The sequence below is a fragment of the Homo sapiens genome, chromosome 2 (genome assembly GCF_000001405.40).
Source record: "Homo sapiens chromosome 2, GRCh38.p14 Primary Assembly".
NCBI classification, from domain to species: Eukaryota; Metazoa; Chordata; class Mammalia; order Primates; family Hominidae; genus Homo; species Homo sapiens.
Genome location: NC_000002.12, coordinates 20,657,926 through 20,679,771, shown reverse-complemented (window position 1 = coordinate 20,679,771; position 21,846 = coordinate 20,657,926). Strand labels below are relative to the sequence as shown.

Below are 21,846 nucleotides of genomic sequence, written 5' to 3'. Positions count from 1 at the left end.
ATCCTCCAGGTGGGGAGGGCTCATGCTTTCTGGAGTGAGACAGGTCCTGCAGCAGTCTGAGATGTATAAACACAGAAAACCTGTCCACCCAAACTGCATTTGGAATGACAGTGCTCACTCTACACATTATCATGCTCATTTCCCAAAGAGAAAATGTTTTCCACTGCATTTTGGCCTCCTTTCCTGAACCCAAGCTTGATGTTTTTTACCTTGCTCTGCAGTGACTTCATGCCGTGTGAGGCTGTGTGCAGCAGCATCATATACAGTTTCATACCAGTCACCAAGACCCAGGGTGCAGCCCCCCATACCAGAGGCCCACAGCCTCACACCTGATCTGACAATACAGGGGAATGATCGGCACAAAGGCAAGTGGAGTCAGGCCTGTTATGTCACTCTCACTATTAAAATGCAGTCAGTCCTAAGGCCTCAATAGCTGGTCGCTATTCTATTAATGAGGACTACAGTAACACAGAAAGGCTGAGTAACAAAAGCTGAAAATGTTTTCCTTTAGAGACCAGTCATGAGCGGTTTTATGAATAAAATATTTAATCAACTTATCTGTACAAAATATTAAAATGGTTAATGAAGAGTATACAAGCATGTTCAACAAATATATACTGCTATATAATAGTTAAGAAAAATAGAGATTGCTGTTTTACATGTCATTTACATTTCACTATGTACAATCTATTTAAATTTGAGAATATATATACACATAGGTTTCTACCAGCCCTGGGAGGGCTCCCTGCTAGCTGGCCTGGGCATCGGCAACACCTCACAATGTCAGCTTGCATTGCCCAAATAAACACCCAAGCCAGGCAGCAAGGAGACAGCCCAGCCTGCAAGCCTCGGAGTTCTGCTGTGGCTACACCAGCAGGAAGACTGCTGATGAAGGAGATTTCAGTTTGCCTTAAATGAGTTTCTAATGTCCCCCCACACTCCAATCTCCTTACTCCCAAGCCAAGCTAAGAAAAAGTGGGTGTCACTGCAAAGCGAAAGGATTTCTATCCCCTCACCAAAATAATTCTTTTTGTCTTTAGCTGCTGAGGAAATGGCATGTTACTGAGCCTTGATGGCATTACTGGCACTTTGAGTTTTACCGTTTCCTTAAAATCACAGTACTGGAATCAGATGAAATTTGCTTTCTAAGCTGCAGCCACTCGTCATGTGCAGAATTCTGCTGCCCACCCAAGTCCTGCTTAAACAGCCGCATTTTATAAGCTGGTACGGGAGCTCTGCAACAACCTTCACAGAGAAAGGATCTGCTGCTTTATTTGTATACAAAAAGAAAAAGACAGTCCAAACTTTTCAGAATCCCTTATTGTCATCTGCTGAAAGGGCAAGTTGTAGTTAGCATGTTAATCCTTGTAAAAAATGCATTAACTTTTCATTTAGGGTGAAATGCTTCCAGCTAAAAGACCTAAAGTGACTCAATTATGATTCTTCGTCAAAGAAAACATAAAAGCTGTTTGCATTACAGTGTAAAGTGAAATACAAAAATAAAATTATTCTAAGGATGCTCATGTTTAATCCATGATTTATCCAAGGCAGAGAATGCCAGAGAATTCCTCTCTTGAGAGTCTCTGTTCCTGGCTTAGAACACTTGAGTATTTCCCCTCCAGAAAACATATTTTATCCTGAGCTTTCTTTCTCACTGAACTGCATCATCATTTTCTAAACAGAATGCTGAAGAGCTGACTTTGAGTCTGACAGGCCCTGACCCAGGAAATGAGCCCTGCTTGTGGGCAGCCCCTTCCTCAAGCCAGCCTACTCACCCCAAGCCCAGCTGCTGCTGCTGCTGCTGCCCCAGGCCAGGGGAGGATCCAGGACACATGTGCGTTGTCTGGCCTTGGCAGCCCTCAGTCACTCAGAGATAAAAAGGTGCAGGCAAGGGGAGGCCCTCAACACACCTGGTCACTGCTTTTCAGACTCATTCACCAAAAAATCCAGGCATGGGCTGCCCATAGCCCATGAGCGGTCTCCCCAGGATGACCTGTGAGTACTAAAAACCAGAGAAAAGGTGTGTGCAGTTGCACCAGCTCACCAGCTTCGGTGCTGTCGCTTCCCATGTTGCAGCTCAGGAAATGTCCTCGAGGGAAGTTTAGCCCCGTTTGCTTTGGATTCGTTCCTGTTTCCTTCTAATTCAGCAGGATGCCTGTTAACGAACCTTACTCGGAAGTCTCGCTTTGGTCAGCCATGGTTCTAGATTCTGGCAGCCAAAGGTCTGGGCAGGAGCTAGATGCAGAACTGGTTGTGGCTGTTGCCACTGCTGGTCAGATGGAGCAGTGCAGGTATTCTGCAGAGAAGACAGCCACTTGCCCACCTCCTGCCTGGACAAATCTCCAGCCCCCACTACGTAGCACTCCTGTTGGCCCACAACACAAAAGGTAATGAAACGGGAATGCAGATGCAAAGCAGCTGGCCGTGCCCTGGCCGCTCTGGACCACTCTGCCGAAAGTGGCCTGGGTGTGACAGAAGCTTCTTGTTTTTCTAGACAGTTTATTTCAGCATCCCCTTACTGACATAGAAAAGAGATTAAAAGTTTCTGTAATACAGCTTCTATCAGGTGGCCCTCTCTGGAGTGAAGCATTTCTAAACTAGCAGAAGGAAGTTCATCTGACAAAAAAAGAGTGAAACTGTACTTCTTGTATCATCACACCAAGCTGTCCTGCCAACAAATTCACCTGACTGCACAGAAACACCTCTCTCCGGAAGTTTCTGTGACCGCTGCAGCCCCCTTGCCACTGTCAGGGAAACGTGTGAGAGAAACCCACCCTTTCTGTTGTCACAGACACATGCGCACCATGCACAGATGCTAGAAGAGGCCTGCAAGCTCTGCAGAGGCAGGAGGAAGTGGACCATCGCACGCTGCTCTGCTGCTCTAAGGGCATATTTTTGCTTTTTCAGCAACTGTGAGCATAACTTGAAACTCAGTCTGATTTTTCAGTGACTTCACACCCATTTTTCAATGACCACCCATCCTGGGTTGCTCTGCTGTAATTGGTCCTGCCGCCATGAAGCACCAGCCCAAACTTTGCCCAGCCAAAGGCCTGTCGCCAAGTTGCAGGCCACAAGCCAAGCTCTGGTTAAGGTGGGTACCTGCAGGTCATGGGCAGACAGCACCCCTAATGATGATCAGAGCTCACGCGGCAACTTCTAGGCCCTCAGTCACCCCTCTGATTCACTAGGCCAACTTTCAGCCCTCTCCCTGCAGTCTGTGTCCACCAGGTGTCTCCTCAGGCTAGGACGGTGGCCCTCCTGAAAAAAACAGGCTTCTTTCACAACAGCCTCACTCAGTTACTATTTGTGACGCACTAAGCTGTGCACACAGATTAAAGTCCAGAACAGCACAGAGGGAGGAAGACAGCTGTGCTGCAGCCTACATGGTCAGGAGGTTCCAGGTACAAGATGCCAAGCTGTCTGAAAACTTAGAAATAAACATCTTTTTGGGTCCTCCCTTCTGGTGCTTCTTTATGTTAACTTCTCCAGACCACAAAAAGGAAGAGAGAGACAAGCTCTTCTGATGCTACCCCAGGGTCACTCCCCTGGGAAGCTGCAAGGGGACCTCAGAGCCAGACATGGGCATGGTGGTGAGGAGGGGGTGAGGACCCAAGGAGTCCATTCTGGGACAGTCCTGCCTGCCTCATCCAGGGCTTCTGGGACAGTCCCAGGCCCCCGTTTGGGTGACCAACCAGGCACAGCCTTGCCTTTACCCTTCTGCCTGCAGAGGCCCCAGCAGCAGGTAGAGCCCTTCCCAGCACTAGGTCTCTCAGACAGTCTCAGCTTGAGTGTGGCTCCGCCCACCCCACTGAGCACAGGAGGAACTGCAGCTGGATGGGCAGTGCCCTCAGCCAGCTCCTGGCTCTGGGGAGCTGAACCCCACCCTCAAGGTGCGGGCCCTCCCCACACCTACCTCAGCCCAGGGGAATTCAAAGCACATCCATGAGGCACCTATTAAGGATAGGAGTAAAATGGACACACGCACACACATGCACATGCACAGGCAAGAGCTGCGAAACCGGTAAGATGAGGCTCTGGGACTGGGATTGGGAGAGGACCTTCTCCAGGAGCCATCACATTTGCTCTGCCTTCAAGCTATCTGAGTGGGTTTTGAGGCAAGGTAAAATCCTAGAACCTTGGAACTGGAAAGGGCATCATTTTACAGGGCAGAAGATGAAGCTCCAGCAGGGAGGTGACTGCCCATAACTTGCCTCAGACGTCTCTCAGGAGACGCCTTGTGGTGCCCTGGCCCCTGAGCGGCCTCCCCTGGCGGGCGCAGTCCGTGCTGTGGGAGCAGCTGCCTCTGGGCACTCGGAAGCCCACAGTGGGCTCTGACTCTGGTGCAGCTCAAATATACCATCCACCAGAGGGATCTAGTTACTTTCCACTCACCCAAAGTTTGGCTGCTGGGTTCGCTCGGCAGCTTCCTCTCTTCCCTTCCCAATCCAGACACTTTCTGAGGGGTAAGCGCAGGCCCAAACTCCCTCTGCTAGACTGCTGCTTTCAGAGCCTCGCTCCCTCCAGCTCACTGCGCGATCTGACTCAGACCTCTTGGCCTATGGCCCACTGAGGGCCAGTGGGAGGCCTGTCTCACTGAGATGACAGGTTCTCATGAGAATCAGCGAGGCCCAGTGATTCTGTGCCCCCAGAGGCAGCCTCAGGACACTCTCTTCCTGCCACTGGATTTCCTGGAGACCAGATTCAAGCACAGGAAAAGTCTGACCTTATCTGTGCACGAGCTGCTCTTGGAAAGAACGTAATTTTTCTCCCTGCTCTAAGAAGAAAATCAGTCTACAAATCCTGGTTGTTTTCTGCTGTGAGTTTAAATGAAATTGCCAACAGCATATACAATGTGTAGGGATTGAATTACACTCCCTCCTGTTCCATCCACGGGATTATCGGTACTCTCTTCAGTACCCAAGGTGAGGCGCCCACTCCTGCCGACACCATGAGAGCTGCCAGGGAGAAGTGACTGTCCTTGGCTTCGTGGAGTCTGGATTCTTCTATCACACAATCCACACCTCATATCGTTGCCAGGAGGGTATGGTGAAGGGGAGCATGGATACAATGACTGAGCACAGCTCAAGCCTGGCTTCCCCAAGCTAACACAGCAAAGCCTGCCACCTTCTCTGGAAGACCCAGTGCGGCTGTTTGGAAAGTCAGAATTCAACAAGGCAAGTGTGTTTGGGAATCAGTGGAAATGCCCGCCTGCCAGTGTGGGTGATCCTCCTTAATACGAAAGCCCTGGTTTCAAGCAGCAGTGACCAGGCTATCATTGTGTTTGACAGACCCAGCACCAGCCCCCGTTGGGCCCCAGCTGGCCTGTCCCGAGCTCCCTAAGTAGGGATGCCAAATCCTACTCACTAGCAGGAAATCCTGGTTCAAGTGATGTCAACTAGTAGTGCACAATTCTCCCTACAAAATGGAAAATTCTGTTTACTTTAGGAGGGAGACTTTGGTGACCTCAGGTTGGGGTTGAGGGGACAGCCTTTCCTCACAGTCTTGACATGCTTTCTCCCTGCCTGTCAGTTCTCCCATCCATGGTGACTGGAGATTCCAGCTGGGGGTTGCAACAGAGAAGCTGGGTTCATGCCAGTCACCCAGGCCTGTCCCCCGCTACCTAGAAGACAGAGAGCTCAGGGTGCTACTACCAACTGTGCTGGCAGAACGCTTTTCTCCACACCTTGGCAATGCTAGTTAAACCACATCTTAGCAGCAAAAAGCCGTCTGCCCCACATGTGTTGGCCCTTTGTTGTCATTTTTACAAGTGAAATGGATCCTCTGCATTCACCTAGTGAATGGACTGAGATGCCAGAGGGCTGGGCAGAGTGGCCCCTGGGGGCTTCACCTGCTCCAGAGGAAATCTGGGAAGCATTCCTTTTATCCAGTAAACAAAGAGCACACTGAGGGTATGGGGCCATGGAAGGAACAGTCACTGTCCAAGGACAACACCCCTCCCACCGGGTGCCACCTGAACTCAAGATGCAGGAAGGTACCTACTTCCCACACCACTCACAACACATCTCGTTAGAAGGAGGTCATCAGAAGGAAAGAGGGGAAATTGACAGTTTTTTTCCCTACTATAAAAAGGCCAGGCTAAATCAAGACATTTCTGCCCAAAAAATTGTTTTTACTAGTCACTAAAAAAGTATCAAAATGTTTGCTTTTATCCAAAGATATTAAATACCCCAGACCTTCCTCAAAATAACATTTAACTGCACTTTGTCATTAACTTCCTTTCTAAACCTTCTAATACTACAACTTTCAACACTTCAGTGCTTTTTTTAATATATAATTCTTCATTATGACAAGCTTCATTTTAAAAACGAGAGTGAGGCATCTCTGGCAAAATCCACAAATTTAGGGACCATCTTTGCCCAGTCACTAAAATAAGATGGAATTGTACCAGAGCAGCCACTTTTGGATATTTTTAAAATTTTTAACCTGAAGAGACTGTTCATGTTCTGGTTATTTATAGCTACTCATACAGCCACAGAATATAAATTCACATAATAGGAGGAAGGGGGGAATCTTAATTTTAAGAGTAATTTACACGTGTATTTTTTTTTCTTTTGGGAGAATTTTACAGGATGAAAACCGATTCAGGTAGGGCCCCTAAGTAAATTAGCTGTATCTAAATCGTAAGTCTGTCTTCTCTCTCTCAAGAGTGTAATCACTGAGAATCAAAATGTGTATGAATTGTCCTGCATCCAACACAGGGTGGAAATAATGCTCCCCAGGACTCTGAAGGGGAAAGTCCTACACAACATCACACAGATGCACCGAGAGGGCTGCGGGGCTGTTCTAAGAAGCCCCCACCCCGGACAGCTGGAGTCCAACTAGGTTCCCTCTCCCAGCCTATTGACAAAAAGCCACAAAGGATTCCCAGGCATAAACAAATCAAATCAAACAGTGAAGTCTGAATGTTCGAACTCACTTTTACATGCCTAGAAAATCCTCCCATCAATAAGACCCTTTGGGGCCAAATAAGGGAACTGGGGGATATTCCACCTCTGCTCCCCCACACCAAGGCCCTGCCCTTCCAAGGGCACAGCAGCCAAGCCAGGGAGCCGATGAGGGGAAGGGGCAGACCTTCCCCCTGCTCTAAAGGTCTGGGTTGTGAGTTGAAGTCTGACAAAAGCATTTTTGAGTGGCTTCACTTCCCGTTACTATCACACTGCCAACAACTACAGCAACAACACAGCGAAAGCAGGTAAAAAGCGGAGGCCGACTTACTTGATAACTAGCACAAGCCCGAGTCGGCCCCGGGAGCTTCCGCCTACCTGGCCGGCAAGCCGGAGTCCTCGGCTGGAGTGGGCCCCAGGACACCTCCTTGCCTTTCAAGCCCTGAGAGCCTCTTCCCTGGCTTCTTAGGAAAACCTCCTGGCAGGTCTCTAGGAAAAGCAGTAGCTCCCCTCCCCCAGCCCCACCTTCCCCATTCCGGGCCATTGCACTAACTTCCTCCTGAGCCACCCGAGGCATGGCTCCCACCTCCCCCTGACCAACTGGGGAGCTTCCGAACCTGGCAGATCCTATCCCACCCCAATATCCTGTTAGATCAGACTCAGCCGTTTAAAAGAAAAATATCCTTTCCACTTTCCATAACATTTCCTATTGGAATTGATTAAAAAAAAAAAAAAAAAAGGCGGGGGGGGGGGGGGGGGTGGCGGTACCGACCTTTGCAGAAATCTGGGAAGCTCCACAACAGCTACTTTCAGACAAAACTTCCCTTTCAAAAATGAAGCAGGGGCACGTTAAATTTTAAAAGTTAAAAAAAGAAAGATGCTTTTTGCAGCAGTTCCAGGGTAAACGGCCCCATGCAACACAAACCCTCGGGAAGGGCATTACAGCCTTGCAGTGGGTCACGGAGTGCACCACGCGGCGCTCAGCCCCCCAGGGAAGCGATGCCCCACATCGGGCCAGAAACAAAAGGGGGTGAGATAAAGCATGCTCGAGTACCCCTTTGGTTCTCCCATTCTGGAACTTCGAATTTCCTAACCCGTTGTTGCTACCTGATTTTCGTGCCTCTAACTGCAACATCAGCACAAACACCTTCCTCTCCCTAAATGGGGGCAGTGGGCGCCATGGTTATCTGTTTGCAAAATACACAGGGCTTTGACATTCGGTACCGGCAGGTCATCTCTTCCCAAGGCTTTCACATGCTGTCCCCGGTAAATGTGTGCGTGACTGCACGAGTGTGTGTGAGTGTGAACGTGTGCTCTCCCTCCTCTGAGAGGGTGCTGGGTCACATCGGACATGCACCCACGCTCGGTGACAGGGTGGCCCGCTGCTGCTCATCAGCTGGGGATCCTCGGCCGCGTGGCTGCCCCCTCCCCGGCCCTCGCGCTACCTGCAGCCGCAGGCCTCCACCACCATGTCCTCGTATTGCTTGTAGACAACGTTGTTGGCGGCGTCGATGTAGAGGATGCTGATGGGGCTGAGGCGCGCTGGCACACAGCAGGAGGCCGGCGCCGCGTCTGGTGCCATGGAGTTGAGCAGCGTCTGAATGATGGCATGGTTGGTGGGCTCGAGGTGCGAACGCAAAGGGAAGTCGCAAAGGCCCTCGCAGTGGTACGCCTCGTAGTCCAGCGGCGCGATGATCCAGTCGTCCCAGCCGAGCTCCTTGAAGTCCACGTGCAACGGCTTGCGGCTGCAGCGGCTCCGGCCCCTGCGCCCGTGGCCCCGGCCCGCGCCCCCGCCGCTGCCCTGCGCTGTCCGCGTCCCGGCCAACGCCGTCCTCCTCCGTCTGCGGCCGCCAATGACTGCCCTTGGCGACGCGGTGCCGGTTCCTGGGTCGGGCAGCGGCTCTGAGGCCAGAGCGGCCCCGAGCGCGCGGGCCTGGGCGCGGATCTCCCGGAATAAGCTCTCTTTCCTCTGCGTGCGGGAGGAGACGACTAGCACCGCGCGCTCCTCTGCCGCAGAGCCCCCTCCGCCCGGCCAGCCGAAGCCCAGCCGCCGCAGTGCCAACGGGCTCGGCACCGGGCCTGCCACTGCGCGCAGCAAGAGGCAGAACGCGCGGGGGGGGCGCGGTTCACGACGGTGGCGCCTCATGGCGTCCGCCACGTCGAACGCCTCCCAGCGCTGACCGACTAGGGGCTCAGCTGCCCGCGAGTACAGCAGGCGTGGCGCTCGGGCGGCGCCCGGGCACGTGGACAGCAGCAGCAACGGCGGAGAAGTCCAGCTGCCTGGGCCCGACTCTGGAGATCCCCGGCGCAGCACGCGCAGCTCGGCACCCACCACCTCGTCTGCGTCGTTAAGGCTGGACACGTCGAACAGGAAGCTCTGGCCTGTTTCGGCTGCCGATTCGTCTGCGGGGGACCGGCAGGGACAGAGAGAAAGAGCTGTGTAAGAGCAAATCCTGCACACTGTCAGCGCGGGGCCTCCTAACAGCAAATGGCCCAGCTGTCTTCGATGTGGGAGCCAGGCCTGTTGGAGCCAGCGCCCGACTCCGCGTCTCTGCCCCAGCCTGAACGCTGCCAGCCTGGCCCAGAGCAGCGGACGTCTTCGCCCGGGATATCCGAACCGAGCTTTGGTTTAGCAAGCCAAAAGTCCCATCAGGCCAACAACCCATGGTCACTGCATATCCCTGAGCCGCGGGACCAGGAGCGCACCCCTACACCCAAGACCAGGACTGCAGGCTGCTATAGTTCCGCGGCCTGACCCAGAGCCGCGGGCCAGAATCCGAGATCAGAGTCCGGGGCTGGGTTGAAAAGAAGTCGTGCACCCCCTCCTGAGGTCCTGGGCCTTAAGGAGACTTATCGTTATTGCCCTGCTGATCCCCCAAGAGAGCCGAAAGTCCTGGCTGTGCGAAAACGGAAAATTCTGGTCTCCTGAAAACTCTTCTGCTACCTCTGTTCCCCCAACCCAGCCTGGACATCCCTGCTGGCCACGGTCTCCCATGCAGGCTGGGGCTCGGCGATTCGTCCGGGAGAATTCGTCTGCACGGCCGCAGAGACCTTCTAGTCCAACTTCGCTCTGCCGAAGGGGAACTGAGGCCCAGGTAGGGGCCAGGCTCGCCCAAGGTCTCAGGTCTTGCAACAATGGGCGCTGCTGCTCGCGATCGCAACCCCAAATGCACCTCCTCCCGGTGCTCTCGCGGCCTCCGAAGGAGGGGGAAAGGCAGTAAAGGAACACAAGGAACCTCCCGGAGGGGTGCGGGGCATCCCGGAATGACCTTGCTGCAGTGAGGGCAGCGTCCCAAACGAGGTCTCGCTTCCAGGAGCCGCCTGTCTGTCCCTTCGCGGGCTCATTCTTCCCTCTGTAGTGACTTATCTCGGGCTTAGGGGTTTTATTTCCAGTGTGGACACTCTTTTTTCTTTTTCCTTTTTGGGCTCAGAAAAAAAAAAAGTTTAAAATTCCACCACGCAGCAGATAAGGAGCTCCCTTTGAAGGGGGTCATATGGTTTCGTTTTGCCCCTAAACTCGGAGAGACTATGCAGAATCCCCCCACCACTGGGGATTTGCTCACCAGCCACGAAGGTCAGGCCCTCATGCCTGAGGTCCCGGTTCTATCCCTATCAATGGCTTCTGGGGACCTCAAGCAGCCCTGTTCCAAGTTGAGACTCAGGGTGGAGAGGGAGGCCGGAGAGGCACACTGGGGCTGCACGAGGAGCACTTTCTCTGAGATTCCCTGCAGATCCTCTGCCTCTCCCTGCTCACCAGCCCTGCCACTCTGTTTCCCCCAAGAGGGAGGAGGGAGAGGAGGCCTCTCAGGCTCAGCCAGCCAAGCTGAGCTCCCCAGAAAGGATTTATCTCCTGTCTGAGACCATGGTAGAACTAGCTCAACCTTAAGAAGACTCTGGTGCCTGTGCCCACTTAGAGCCCAGCACACCCCCCTTCTCCTGCAGCCTGGGACCCTTCAGTCCCTGTCCCTGTGCACCAGAACTAGGGCGTCCTATAAGTATCCCAGCATCCAGCCCAGGGGCCATGTCAGGCCGTCAGAGAAGGCTTGATAGTTCTAACCGAACCACAGGGCCATTTGGGGATTGGGTACCAAGATTTCCAGGTACCAAAAATAAGGCAGTCTGTGCTAGGCACTGGGCATGTGCTGGCAGGGATGGATGACCTGGTCACTTGCAAGGCCTCTGCCTGCCTTCCCAGGCTAGGACCTGAGGTATGCTGACTGTCAGTGGCTCCCAAGCAGGGCTGCCTCAGCCCCACCCGCTCACTTCCCAGCCCTATTCGCCTTTCTTTCCCTCCTGCCCTCCATGCTGGGTCTCTGGCTGGATAGAATTAAGGCCGAAATTACTTGCATTTCCGCCTGAAATTAGGTAAATTTTCTCTATCTGTCTGCTTTAATGATTTCAATGGAGATTAATAAAATCCAGATGACATACAGCAGCCACACCACAGCCTCACCTACATCTTACCTTTGGAAGGCCCAGGGCAGAACAAGGTGGGGTGCTTAGTCTAAGAGAGGCCTGCATTCCTGCAGGGTCCCCAGCAGGCCTCTCCTCCCCACACCACCAGGATCCTTGACCTCTGGCTCTCCCAGGGGCCCAGCACCAGACACAGGCACCCATAGCTGCACATGTCACACACACACAAACCACCACCACCCAGACCAACCTGCTGAGCAGGGCACTCCTCATACCTGGTTATGCCACCAGCCTCTCCAGGGCCATTTACTTTAGTCTGATACCTGCCTCTGCCCTAGTTTTCCCTGGGCTTCCCCCAATTTGTGTGGCCCGCAGGAGACTGGGAGCTGCAGAAATTGCTGCAAGGAAGGAGCCATCACCCTCACCACCGTGCAGTCCCTCTCGCCGTGACTCCCGGGAACACAGCTCTTGCCCTCCTTTCTTCTCTGAGGGCTCCGAGGCCACTCCAGACCATTCCCCAAGAAGCGAATCTTGGCCTCCGCCTGCCTCCTCGAGGGGACCAGCCGGCCTGCAAGGCCAGGGAGACCTGGGAGAGGGACCAGTCAGCCCTCTGGGACTGGGCCCCGGGAGCTGCCGCGACTCTCGCCACAGTCCAGGTGCAGCGGGCTGGAGAGTGTTGGCCTCGGCGAAGTTTCTTTCTATCACCTGAGGGTGGGCCGCATGGGGCCGCGGCTCCAAATGTAACGGAGCTGCGGCACGGCTCCGGGGCTGGTCTCAGCCCAGGACCTGACGGGATGGGCGGGCACAGAAGAGGCGTAAGTACCTTGGGTCGCCTGGTCTGTGAAGCCGGTGATCGTGTCCGCGCGACCATGGCCCGAGGCGGAGACAGCGGCTGCCCCGGCCGGAGCCCTCCCGGCCAGGCTCCGGTAAAGCGACATCATGAAGTGGTGCGGCACCACCGAGCCGTTCCTGAAGCCGGAGCCCGCGGCGCGGCGCGCGGCGCGGGCCCGGGGAACCGCGGCGGCCGGGACAGCCGCGGCGCCCGCAGCCTGGGCAAGAGTCCGCCCGCCGCCGCCGCCGCCGCCGCCGCCCCCTGGGCTCCGGACCGGCCCAGCCCCCGCCGCTCGCAGCACGGCGGCCGCTTCCAGCCCGTCGCGGGGGCGGCAGGCGCTCAGCAGCCAAAGGCACAGCGCGGCGGCGGCGCTCAGGTCCATGGGCTCCGTGGGCCGGGCGGGCGGGCGGCGCGGGCTCCGTGGCTCCGGGAAGTCCCCCGGCGCCTTTTGAACATAGTGTTTAATAATGGGGGAAGTGTGCGCGGCCAGCCCGCGGCCCCCCCTCCTGGCCCACCCCACCCCCGCCCAACGCCCGGAGCAGCGCCCCCTGCTGAAAGCTCCGGCGGCCGCTATGCGCCCCCCACCCCGGCCTAGAGTGGAGACCAGGGCCGGAGCCGCCTCCTCCCACCGCAGCGCTACGCCCCCACCCTCGCCAAGCGACTGCCACTGGCCCCAGCCTCCCGACACGCCTCCCCGCGGCAGTGCGACACCCCCTCCATCCGCCCAAGACCAACGCGCCCTCCGTGGTTCCAGGCTCGGGGCACCGCGCGCACCCGCCCAGCTTCCTCCCCACTCCCCCGCAGAGAAACACCCGCCCCCTCCCTGCCCTGGTTCCCAATGCCGGGAACGGGGCGGCAGAGTTGGGGCCGCGGAAGGGCTCGCCCTCCAGACCGCTTCGCGCCGCGGCCGGGTGGCCGCGCAGAGAGAGGCCACAGGATGCTCCCGGCGGCCTCAAAGTCGCGTTCCGGATCGCGGGTCGGCGGTTCCCCACTCAGCCACAGACCCCAAAGGATTGCAGCGGGCGGCCAGAGCAGGGGAGGGGGCCGGTAGGGGAGGAAGGGAGGGCGAGGAGCTGAAAGGGCAGGCCTGTAAGAGACCTTTGGACGCGGACCGCCCGTCGTAAAAGCAAGGTTTGGGCGCGGAAGTTGCGCTTCAGCGGGAGCCAAGCTCTAGAAAGAGCTCGAAATGAGGACGGCAGCCCCGGGTGATGGGGGATCTCGCGCGGGAGTGCGCTAAGAGTTTGGCTGTGCGTCCAACTGGCGACCTTCCACCCGCCTTCTGGGCGAGGGCAGCGGCTAACGAAAACCAGCTACCGGCTGTGTGCGTGAGCGGCCAGGAGCCGGGAGAGCGGACGGCGCAGAGCCCCGGGATGGCGCCTCCGAGCTTCTTACCCCGCCGCGGTGATGGCGCGGGTCCCGAGGTGGATGGAGGGGACGCCCGGCAGCGGCGAAGCCCTGGGGCGCACTCGCGCGGGCCGCAGAGCAGTTTGCTCCGCGGCTGGGACAGGTTGCGGAGGCCAAGTCTCAGGGGAACGCGCAGGAGAGGGGGGTTATCGGCTCTGCTCCGCCGGCAGCCTGGACATCCCCCTAGATCGGAAACTTTCAGCTGATCGAAGGCCTGGGCCAAACGAACTGCCGAAGAAGGGCAGGCGGGTCCTTTTCCTTTAAAATTGCATTTTCTGCAGAACTCAAAATCTAGACTGGGTCGGCACGTCGTGATCACCTTGAGCGGGTGATCAGCTTCAAAGCGAGGTCGCCCGCCGAATCCAAAGCCGCCTAGGTCCCGACGCCTGCCTGGCTGCGCTGCGCTGGGACCCACAGAGAGGCCCGGCCCAGGCTCCCCAGTTCCCCTGCTCCACTGCTTCGTCCCAAACGAACTCCTCAGCCATTGCCCTCTCGGCCACCGCGGAGACGCGGCGCCTGCTCACCTTGGGGCATTGAGCCGCATAACACTCGAGAATGTTTGCGGGTGGGAGAGAGAGGCCTAGTGAGGTTCAGTCCTCGCAGACCCCAAGGCCGATCTATGCCAAGGAGAAAGGCCTGACATTACCGGGAAGGGCGGACCCCTGGACCAGGGTCAGCGCTGCCGGCGCTGAGGGACTTCTCCTAGCAGGAGCCTGGGGAATCTGGGATGATCGAGCTGGGATAGTCCACCCTGCTTCTAGGACTGGGATTGGAGAGTCGGTGACAAACACCGCCGCCCCCACTCCGCCAGCCCCCCGGTCTCTCCCTGACGCGGATGCTGGGTCCTACTGTGTTACTTGGCTTCCTTTCCCCCTGCAGCCATGCGCCCGCAGTGTTTGGGTGTTTTACAAATCAACTCGGCTAAGATTTGTGCAAACACGCGGGGAGTCCTGGGTGACAGCAAGTCGCTTGCCTTGTCTTGGCTTCAGTTTACCCGGCTGTGTAGAGCAGAGAGCGGAAGGGTCCTAGCACATTCTTGGCACAGCCAGTGACAAACGTTTGTTGATTACATGACACCCCTGCCACGTTGGGGCTTAGGAATGAGGGATGCACCCTTGCTGTCATTGTGGGAGCAGGCCACTTAGCCTCTTGGAGACCGAATTTCCTAATCTATAAAATGAGCGGATTCTCACCTCATCCTGTGTGTGGCTGGCATAACAGGCTGGCACAGAGGAGGTGATGTAGTCTTGCCCCCAACCACCAGTGTGTTCCCAGTGCCAGGGGTGATCATGGCAGAGAGAGAAGCAGCTTCTACGCACCTGGAAGGCTTTGGAGGACACACATGGGGTGGGCTAATGCTGCTGGAGCCACTGTCCACTCGCTGTATGTGCTCCAACTGAGACTTCACTTCTCCCACCTGTGCTTCTTGGTCTGTATGGTGAGGGCACAGTCATTTATTTATTTATCCGTCCCTCTATTCATTCCTTCTTTATGTAAATACTCATTGCCAGGTAGCCTTCGGTGCATTGTGGATTGAGCAACGCACAGGGCGAGCACATGGAGCTTTAGGATGGACACAGGAGACAGCCAACAGGAAGCGCATAAATGCACAGTGTGCTATCCAGTGGTTCCGAGTAAAGTGATGGGCTGGGGGGCTCTGTGATCAGCAGAGGACACATTGGAGCCGAGCCCAGGAGGAGGCAGAGAGGATGCATGGGTCATGCCTGTCTCCCTCGCTCCCTGTAAATAATGATAGTGCCCATTCGTTGTCCCTTGAATGTCAGGCACCTTGCCTGCTGCTCCACACACCTCATGCCATTTCATTCTCACAACTACTCTATCCTGTGAGATGGGTATTCTTCCCATTCTATAGAAAAGGAAAGTTGAGCTAAAGAATTCAACACCTTGCGCAGAGTCACCTGGAGAGTGGCAGAGCATGGAGTCATCAACTATCCTTGCTCAACCCTTGGCTTGGGGCTGGGGGATGGGAATGTGAGGGGCTTTGTTCTGCCGCCCTGCTCCCCAGACCCCAGTGGAGAGGCAGAGTATGCCTGCCTTTCCTCTCTGGCTTTCTAGAAAATTCTTGGCAAAGAAAGGACCTCTCTAGTCCAGGTGAAGACTATGAAAGTGTTACCCAGGGGACTCTTGCCTGCCACTGCTCGCAACTGGAAGCGGAAAACACTTGCCATGGAAAATAGCCTGTCATACCAGCAGCAGGACCTGCCCATGACCCAGGTCTCCAGGTGCCCTGCCCAGTTGGGACTTCCTCTTAGGTGATGTGGGGATCCTTAGGTCGATTGGCTGGGCAGGAGAGAGCTAGTTTGCACAGCCCGGAGCCCTTGAAGCTGTGCACCACATGCTAACTGCACTAAGAGCCTTGAGAATGAAAACCTTCCTCTGTGTTGCCCCAGCCATCACTGGGGAGCAGATGAGGCCCAGAGGCAGATGTCAGGAGCAGAGATCAGAGAAGGTTGGGAGAAAACTGGGGCCTGAAAGCCCTAACTTTAGTTCTTCATCCATCTGATCACCCCCAAACCCCAGACCTCCAGACTCCAGCTGAGTCCTCCTCAGAGAGAGAAGGTGAGATTGCCTCCAACGGAGGGAGGAGGGGAAAGCAGCCTGCTTGGGGCGATGTTTGACAACTGGGATGAAGAGGGGCAGTTCCCACATTCCCGCCCCAGACCCTTCCTTGCAGAGCACTTTGCTGCTCTTCCACCCCTTGCAGAAGCTGTTTGTTTTCTCTGAACACCAAGTCCCTGATTCAGTCATAGAATCCAAGGATCTGAAAACAACTTTTGGGGTTATTATTTAAGCCAACTTGCCATGCATGCCTGAATCATAACAAATTGCTTCCTGGGCTGCACTTGCATACCTGCAGAGGTGGGGAACTCCCTATCCAAGGCAGCCTCTGATACCTCTGAATGGGAGGAAGTTCTTTTTTGTTCTTTTTTTTTTTTTTTTTTTTTTTAGGAGACAGGGTCTCCCTCTGTGGCCCAGGCTGCAGTGCAGTGGCAGAATCATGGCTCACGGTAACTCAAATTCCTGGGCTCAAGTGATCCTCCTACCTCAGCCTCCCTAGTAGCTGGGTCTACAAGCACAAGCCACCACACCCAGCTAATTTTTAAAAATATTTTGTAGACACAGGGTCTTGCTGTGTTGCCAAGGGTGGCCTCAAAGCATCCTCTTGAGCCCAGGCTCAGTCTCCCAAAGTTCTGGGATTACGGTTGTGCTTTCCTGTACCCGGTTGTGAGGAAGTCCTCTCTACTACTACTAGGAGAGCCACATCTCTCGAAGGTACCTTTGCTGTGGGGAGTTTGCATGTCATCTGGGAACCTACAACACTAGATTGATACTACTTAGGGAGTTAGTCTTGGATCCCGCCAGCTACAGCCATTTTGAAGCGACTGTCAGGTACGGGAACTTGGGCAAGCCCCAGCTGTAGCCTACTCAGCCTTGCCCAGGGTCTCCTGCCATACCCAGACACCTGGCCCCATGTCTGATGACAAGACAACTAAAAGATCCCTTAGAGGCAACCTACTCTACATTGTCCACATGCAGAAGCCAAGTCCCCAACAAGGGGATGTGATCAGTAGCCTGTCATTTGGCATCATAGCCATCTTCTATCCTGGGTCCCCCTGTGATCAGGGGCCTTTGTTCTCCATTGCAGCCCAGAGGGTCTTGCCTCACCTCTGCTTAGGGCACCCTGTGGGTGCAACATAATGAGGGTCAGCCTTTGCCCTCCCCTCTCCTCTGTTGGGGATGCTGGGTCCCTGCAGCCATGCACTAACTTGGAACATAAAACTGATAATCCTGAGAGTCAAGAGACCTCAATTCAAATCGTGCCTCTAAACTTGGGCTGCAAGTTCCTCACCCTTCCTGGCTTTAGACCCCAGATGTGCAGTGAGGCTGACAATCAAACGTCCACAGGGTTTGCAGTGAAAGACGGGAAGAGTGTGAGATGGGTCCACTGCCTGGGACCCAGCCAGGAGCCTGTCCTCTGTCTGGACCCACCGTAGCCTCTGGGCCTTTTGACTCAGAGCTGGAGAAAGGTTTGGAGGTGAGGAGATAGGGCTCTGGGTTAGGTCTCCCAGGGAAGGCAAGGGACAGAAGTTGATGACAACAGCCTGCAGAGCCATCCACCCTCTCTGGGTCTGGTGATGATGGACTCCTCTCAGTCCAGAAATCTGCTGCAAATGTCTCCCACAGAAAGACCTGGGACAGCAAGGTGGGAAGATTGCAGCGGGCTCTGGCTTAGCCCCATAGGATGCCCAGGGCTGGGCTTCCTGAAGCTAGAGGAATTTCCCAGGCTCAACTGGTGATACCCGGCCCCAGGTTACTCAGAGCAACAGCTCTGGCATCCACACTGGGGTCAGCCACAGCTCTGGCCCCAGGCCGCTGGGCGTGGCCTGCCCCTGTGCCCCAGGCTACCGGGAGGGGGAGGAGAGGCAACAGAGAAGAAGGGAGAAAGGTAGCTTCTTTACCAGAAGCCTTCCAAAAGGGACATCTCAGAGCCCTTGGGTTTGGGACGAATCAGGGAGGGCTGGTGGACACTGCCATCTGCTGGTTACTTGTTGTAACAGCAGTGCAGTGTTGAGGAACTTCCTACTTACTGGGAGAAGACTCAGGAACCAGTGCTCTGGGCCTCTGCAGGTGAACAAGCTCGCATGGGGCTGTAAGGTGTCCTGGGAGATGAGTGACAAGGACCATATGCTTCCATTGACCCAGGAAAAAGACTACAGTATAGGGTCATGATAAAGATCTGGCTTCCAATCCACTTTTGCTGTGTTCGAGCTTTGTGACCCTGATTAAATTAACCTCTGTCATCTTCTGTCTCTTTGTCTTTAAACAGGGACAGGGTTGCCTACTTATAAGGGGTGTGTCAAAGAGTAGATTAAATCAAGTAGGAAAAGTCCTTGCCCCAGTGCTGGCTCAGTTAAAAAAAAAAAAAATGGTGGCGTTTCATGCCATCTGGGTAAGTCCTGGTTTAACCAGTTGGAAGGCCAGCTCATCTAGCTTGTTCATTCAGTCTCCTGGGTGTGGCCACTGTCTTGGAGGCATTTCCCCTCTGTGGACTTGCTCACCATGGATTTCAGTATTCTGAATGTTCTGCAGCTGTGTCTTCAGTAGATTTTCTTGGAGACCTTTGTGGACACATGAGATTTAAAACAAACAAATAAACAAACAAACAAAAAACTACTTTTGGAAAAAAAGCTGCGGACTCTTTGTGCAATAATTTGGAATGCCCAGCCCTCCAGTCTTACTTAGATAGAGCTCAGGGTTTCTGTTCTAGACCCACAATGATTAGAGGAACCAAATTATCTGCCGCCTGGGAAGATAGGGGCTGACAGGAACAGAGTTGGAGGAACTAGAAGATGTGTCCACAGTCTAGGATATGAGACTTGCAGCCACCCCTGAGGATGACAATATTGGGAACAAATGATCCACCAGTTCCTGAAACAGAGTGTTGACCCGGAGGATCACAGGGCTGACCGGATCCTGGTGTCTGGGGATTGGCTGTCTCAGCTCTTCTGGTCCACATAGTAAAGGTGTCTGTGAGATTTGTCTGCAGGAGGCAGTCTCCGAGGCTGCCCCGCAAAGAACGAGGCACTTACAAAACTGGGAACCTGGCCCTAGGCTATGACTCCCCCATGTGCCCTCTCACCCTCATTTCCTAGGTAGCAGATCCATCCTAAATAAGGTGTTAATTTAGGGCAACTAAAACAGAGCCCAGCTAGGTTCTGTCCTCCGAGTCTTCATTCCTGGTTTGAATGAGGAGCTAGAGGACTCTAATCAAAATGCTTGTCCTCATTGCTGGGGACACAAATCTGGAAGTTAGTAAAAACACTGGGTTACAGAATCAACATCTAAAAAGTCATTAGCAAATCACTGCAAAATTGAAAGAATAATGAGATAGCACTTTTTTCCTCTCTAAATCTAGCAAAACTGAAAAATATGAAACCCGTTATTGGCAAAAGGATGGGCAAACGGGCACATCTACATATACCTTTGGCAGGAATATAAGTTCGTAGAGATTTTTCAAGAACATGGATCATGAAATACAGGCTATCTAAATTTAAAAAAAAAAGATTTTTCAAGAAGAGCATCAACATTTTAAAGAAGGAAAGGCTTTGATTCAGCACTTTTACTTTTCCCTTGTAAAAATGTTGTTTCATTTATAGCTATACTTGCACACGTGAAGATAAATATACAAGGTTTAAAATTGAGGTGATAATAAAAAGTGGAATAGATGATACTTAATCTAGTAAGGACAAAATGATAATATACCCTCAGAGTGAATTATGATTCCCCCAGTGTGAGACTGAGTTAGATCCACATGCATGGCTTGGAAATACGCCATGATATATTATACTGAGATACAGGGTGGGCAGAATAGAGAGGTGGGGCAAAGGGCTGATTCTCAGTTGTTCACACCCAAGCCAAAGCCACACGGATAGACATGTTTCTGTCTGCCTGTCACTGCCCTGCCACCCCAGCCCTCAAACCTCCTTGGGACTCTCTCTTTCATCTTTCTGCTTTTACTCACATTTTACATCGTCAAACAATAAATCCTCCTTGGAGATCTTCATTATCAGATATCAAAATAAACCAATTCCCATATAGCACTGGAAGGAGGATTGACAGATCACGGGAACAGAATAGAATCCAGAAACAAATAACAATCTTTGAAAATATGTAGAAAAATAGTGACAATTCCAGTGAGGGAAAAGGATGACTTGTTTAATAAAAGTTACCAGTGAATGACACTAGATGCTTGATTAAGTATTTAGAGGGGGAAATAGACTCTTGTGACATAAACCAAAATTAATTCCTAGTGAATCAAAGAATTTATTAGAGACTGAAACTATTATAAGCGTATTTGGAGAAAATATGTAAATATTTATACAGTCTGGGTAAGGGATACTTTTCTGAGTTCATTGCAGGAACCAGCAAGAATTATGTCCATGGTTGGAGCTTCATAAAAATCTTAAAACATGCTTGTAAGAAAATTCTGAAAACAGAATTGACCTTAACCAAATAATCAAACTTAATGTCACTAATCATGGGGGAAATTGGCATCACGTGCTCTTGAAAGGGATTCCTCAGTGTGGCACTTCTGCCAAAGATTCATCTGCACCTAACAGATGAAACAATTAGACAAATCCAAACAGAGGCATATTCTGAACCACTGACCTAAACTCTTCAAAGATATCTATGTCATGAAAGATGAAAAAGCCCATTTTAGAATAAAGGAGACTAAAAGAACGTGATAATTAAATGCAATGCAGGATTTTCAGTTAGAGTCTTCACTGGGGGTGGGATGTCAGGATGGGAAGGTATGGGGAGCATTTGTTAGTAAAGACATTGTTTGGGCCGGGCGCGGTGGCTCACGCCTGTAATCCCAGCACTTTGGGAGGCCGAGGCGGGCGGATCACGAGGTCAGGAGATCGAGACCATCCCGGCTAAAACGGTGAAACCCCGTCTCTACTAAAAATACAAAAAAAAAATTAGCCGGGCGTAGTGGCGGGCGCCTGTGGTCCCAGCTGCTTGGGAGGCTGAGGCAGGAGAATGGCGTGAACCTGGGAGGCAGAGCTCGCAGTGAGCCGAGATCCCGCCACTGCACTCCAGCCTGGGCGACAGAGCGAGACTCCGTCTCAAAAAAAAAAAAAAAAAAAAAAAAAAAGATATTGTTTGAACAAATGGAGAAATTGGAACACAGATGGTATGTTAGACTGTTGTATCTATGTCAATTTTCCTGAGCATGATCATTGCACTGTGGTTATATAGGTGATATGGTTAGGCTTTGCGTCCCCACCCAAATCTCATCTTGAATTATAATCCTCATAATTCCCACGTGTCAAGGGAGAGACCAGGTGGAGGTAACTGAATCATGAGACAGTTTTTCCCATGCTGTTCTCATGATAGTGGGTGAGTTCTCATGAGATCTGATGGTTTTGTAAGGGGCTCTTCCCCCTTCTCTTGGCACGTCTTTCTGCTGCCTTGTGAAAAAGGTACCTTGCTTCCCTTTCAACTTCTGCCATGATTGTCAGTTTCCTGAGGCCTCCCCAGCCATGCTGAACTGTGAGTCAATTAAACCTCTTTCCTTTATAAATTACTCAGTCTTGGGTATGTCTTTATAGCAGTGTGAAAATGGACTAATACAGTAGGAGAATGCTCTCATTCGAAGGAGGTATATGCTGAAGTATTCAGAATGAAAGATCATTATATCTACAACTAACTCTTAAATGTTTCAAGGAAAAAAACACAGAAACAGAGAAAGAGAGGGTAAAACAA

At 53.1% G+C, this 21,846-nt stretch overlaps 1 protein-coding gene across 2 annotated transcripts, besides 10 other annotated features; it reads right to left on the bottom strand.

Annotated features, from left to right (window-relative positions):
* Window positions 1-528: 528 nt before the first annotated feature.
* On the bottom strand, window positions 529-12,628 carry GDF7 (growth differentiation factor 7). 2 transcript variants are annotated; one of them, NM_182828.4, is made up of 2 exons: window positions 12,142-12,628; window positions 529-9,308 (listed from the first exon to the last, which is right to left on the bottom strand). In NM_182828.4, exons 1-2 carry the CDS (start codon window positions 12,530-12,532, stop codon window positions 8,347-8,349), a joined length of 1,353 nt encoding a protein of 450 aa, NP_878248.2. In that variant the 5' UTR covers window positions 12,533-12,628; the 3' UTR covers window positions 529-8,346. The 2 variants fall into 2 exon arrangements, with proteins under 2 accessions (NP_878248.2, XP_047299478.1); XM_047443522.1 differs by lacking the exon at window positions 12,142-12,628 and adding an exon at window positions 11,594-12,125.
* Window positions 2,828-3,097: an enhancer, noted in NCBI's record as "active region_15405". NCBI's record gives its function as "activates an Ori minimal core promoter by ATAC-STARR-seq in GM12878 lymphoblastoid cells {active_cell/tissue: GM12878}" and the evidence as "EXISTENCE:reporter gene assay evidence [ECO:0000049][PMID:35858748]".
* Window positions 3,368-3,467: an enhancer, noted in NCBI's record as "active region_15404". NCBI's record gives its function as "activates an Ori minimal core promoter by ATAC-STARR-seq in GM12878 lymphoblastoid cells {active_cell/tissue: GM12878}" and the evidence as "EXISTENCE:reporter gene assay evidence [ECO:0000049][PMID:35858748]".
* Window positions 3,478-3,537: an enhancer, noted in NCBI's record as "active region_15403". NCBI's record gives its function as "activates an Ori minimal core promoter by ATAC-STARR-seq in GM12878 lymphoblastoid cells {active_cell/tissue: GM12878}" and the evidence as "EXISTENCE:reporter gene assay evidence [ECO:0000049][PMID:35858748]".
* Window positions 3,928-4,047: an enhancer, noted in NCBI's record as "active region_15402". NCBI's record gives its function as "activates an Ori minimal core promoter by ATAC-STARR-seq in GM12878 lymphoblastoid cells {active_cell/tissue: GM12878}" and the evidence as "EXISTENCE:reporter gene assay evidence [ECO:0000049][PMID:35858748]".
* Window positions 8,632-9,577: an enhancer, noted in NCBI's record as "H3K27ac-H3K4me1 hESC enhancer chr2:20869955-20870900 (GRCh37/hg19 assembly coordinates)". NCBI's record gives its function as "activates a minimal SCP1, AML or CMV promoter by ChIP-STARR-seq in naive H9 embryonic stem cells {active_cell/tissue: H9 hESC(naive)}" and the evidence as "EXISTENCE:reporter gene assay evidence [ECO:0000049][PMID:30033119]".
* Window positions 11,949-12,068: an enhancer, noted in NCBI's record as "active region_15401". NCBI's record gives its function as "activates an Ori minimal core promoter by ATAC-STARR-seq in GM12878 lymphoblastoid cells {active_cell/tissue: GM12878}" and the evidence as "EXISTENCE:reporter gene assay evidence [ECO:0000049][PMID:35858748]".
* Window positions 12,549-12,698: a silencer, noted in NCBI's record as "silent region_11215". NCBI's record gives its function as "represses an Ori minimal core promoter by ATAC-STARR-seq in GM12878 lymphoblastoid cells {active_cell/tissue: GM12878}" and the evidence as "EXISTENCE:reporter gene assay evidence [ECO:0000049][PMID:35858748]".
* Window positions 12,739-12,788: a silencer, noted in NCBI's record as "silent region_11214". NCBI's record gives its function as "represses an Ori minimal core promoter by ATAC-STARR-seq in GM12878 lymphoblastoid cells {active_cell/tissue: GM12878}" and the evidence as "EXISTENCE:reporter gene assay evidence [ECO:0000049][PMID:35858748]".
* Window positions 12,859-12,968: a silencer, noted in NCBI's record as "silent region_11213". NCBI's record gives its function as "represses an Ori minimal core promoter by ATAC-STARR-seq in GM12878 lymphoblastoid cells {active_cell/tissue: GM12878}" and the evidence as "EXISTENCE:reporter gene assay evidence [ECO:0000049][PMID:35858748]".
* Window positions 13,055-13,885: an enhancer, noted in NCBI's record as "H3K4me1 hESC enhancer chr2:20865647-20866477 (GRCh37/hg19 assembly coordinates)". NCBI's record gives its function as "activates a minimal SCP1, AML or CMV promoter by ChIP-STARR-seq in naive H9 embryonic stem cells {active_cell/tissue: H9 hESC(naive)}" and the evidence as "EXISTENCE:reporter gene assay evidence [ECO:0000049][PMID:30033119]".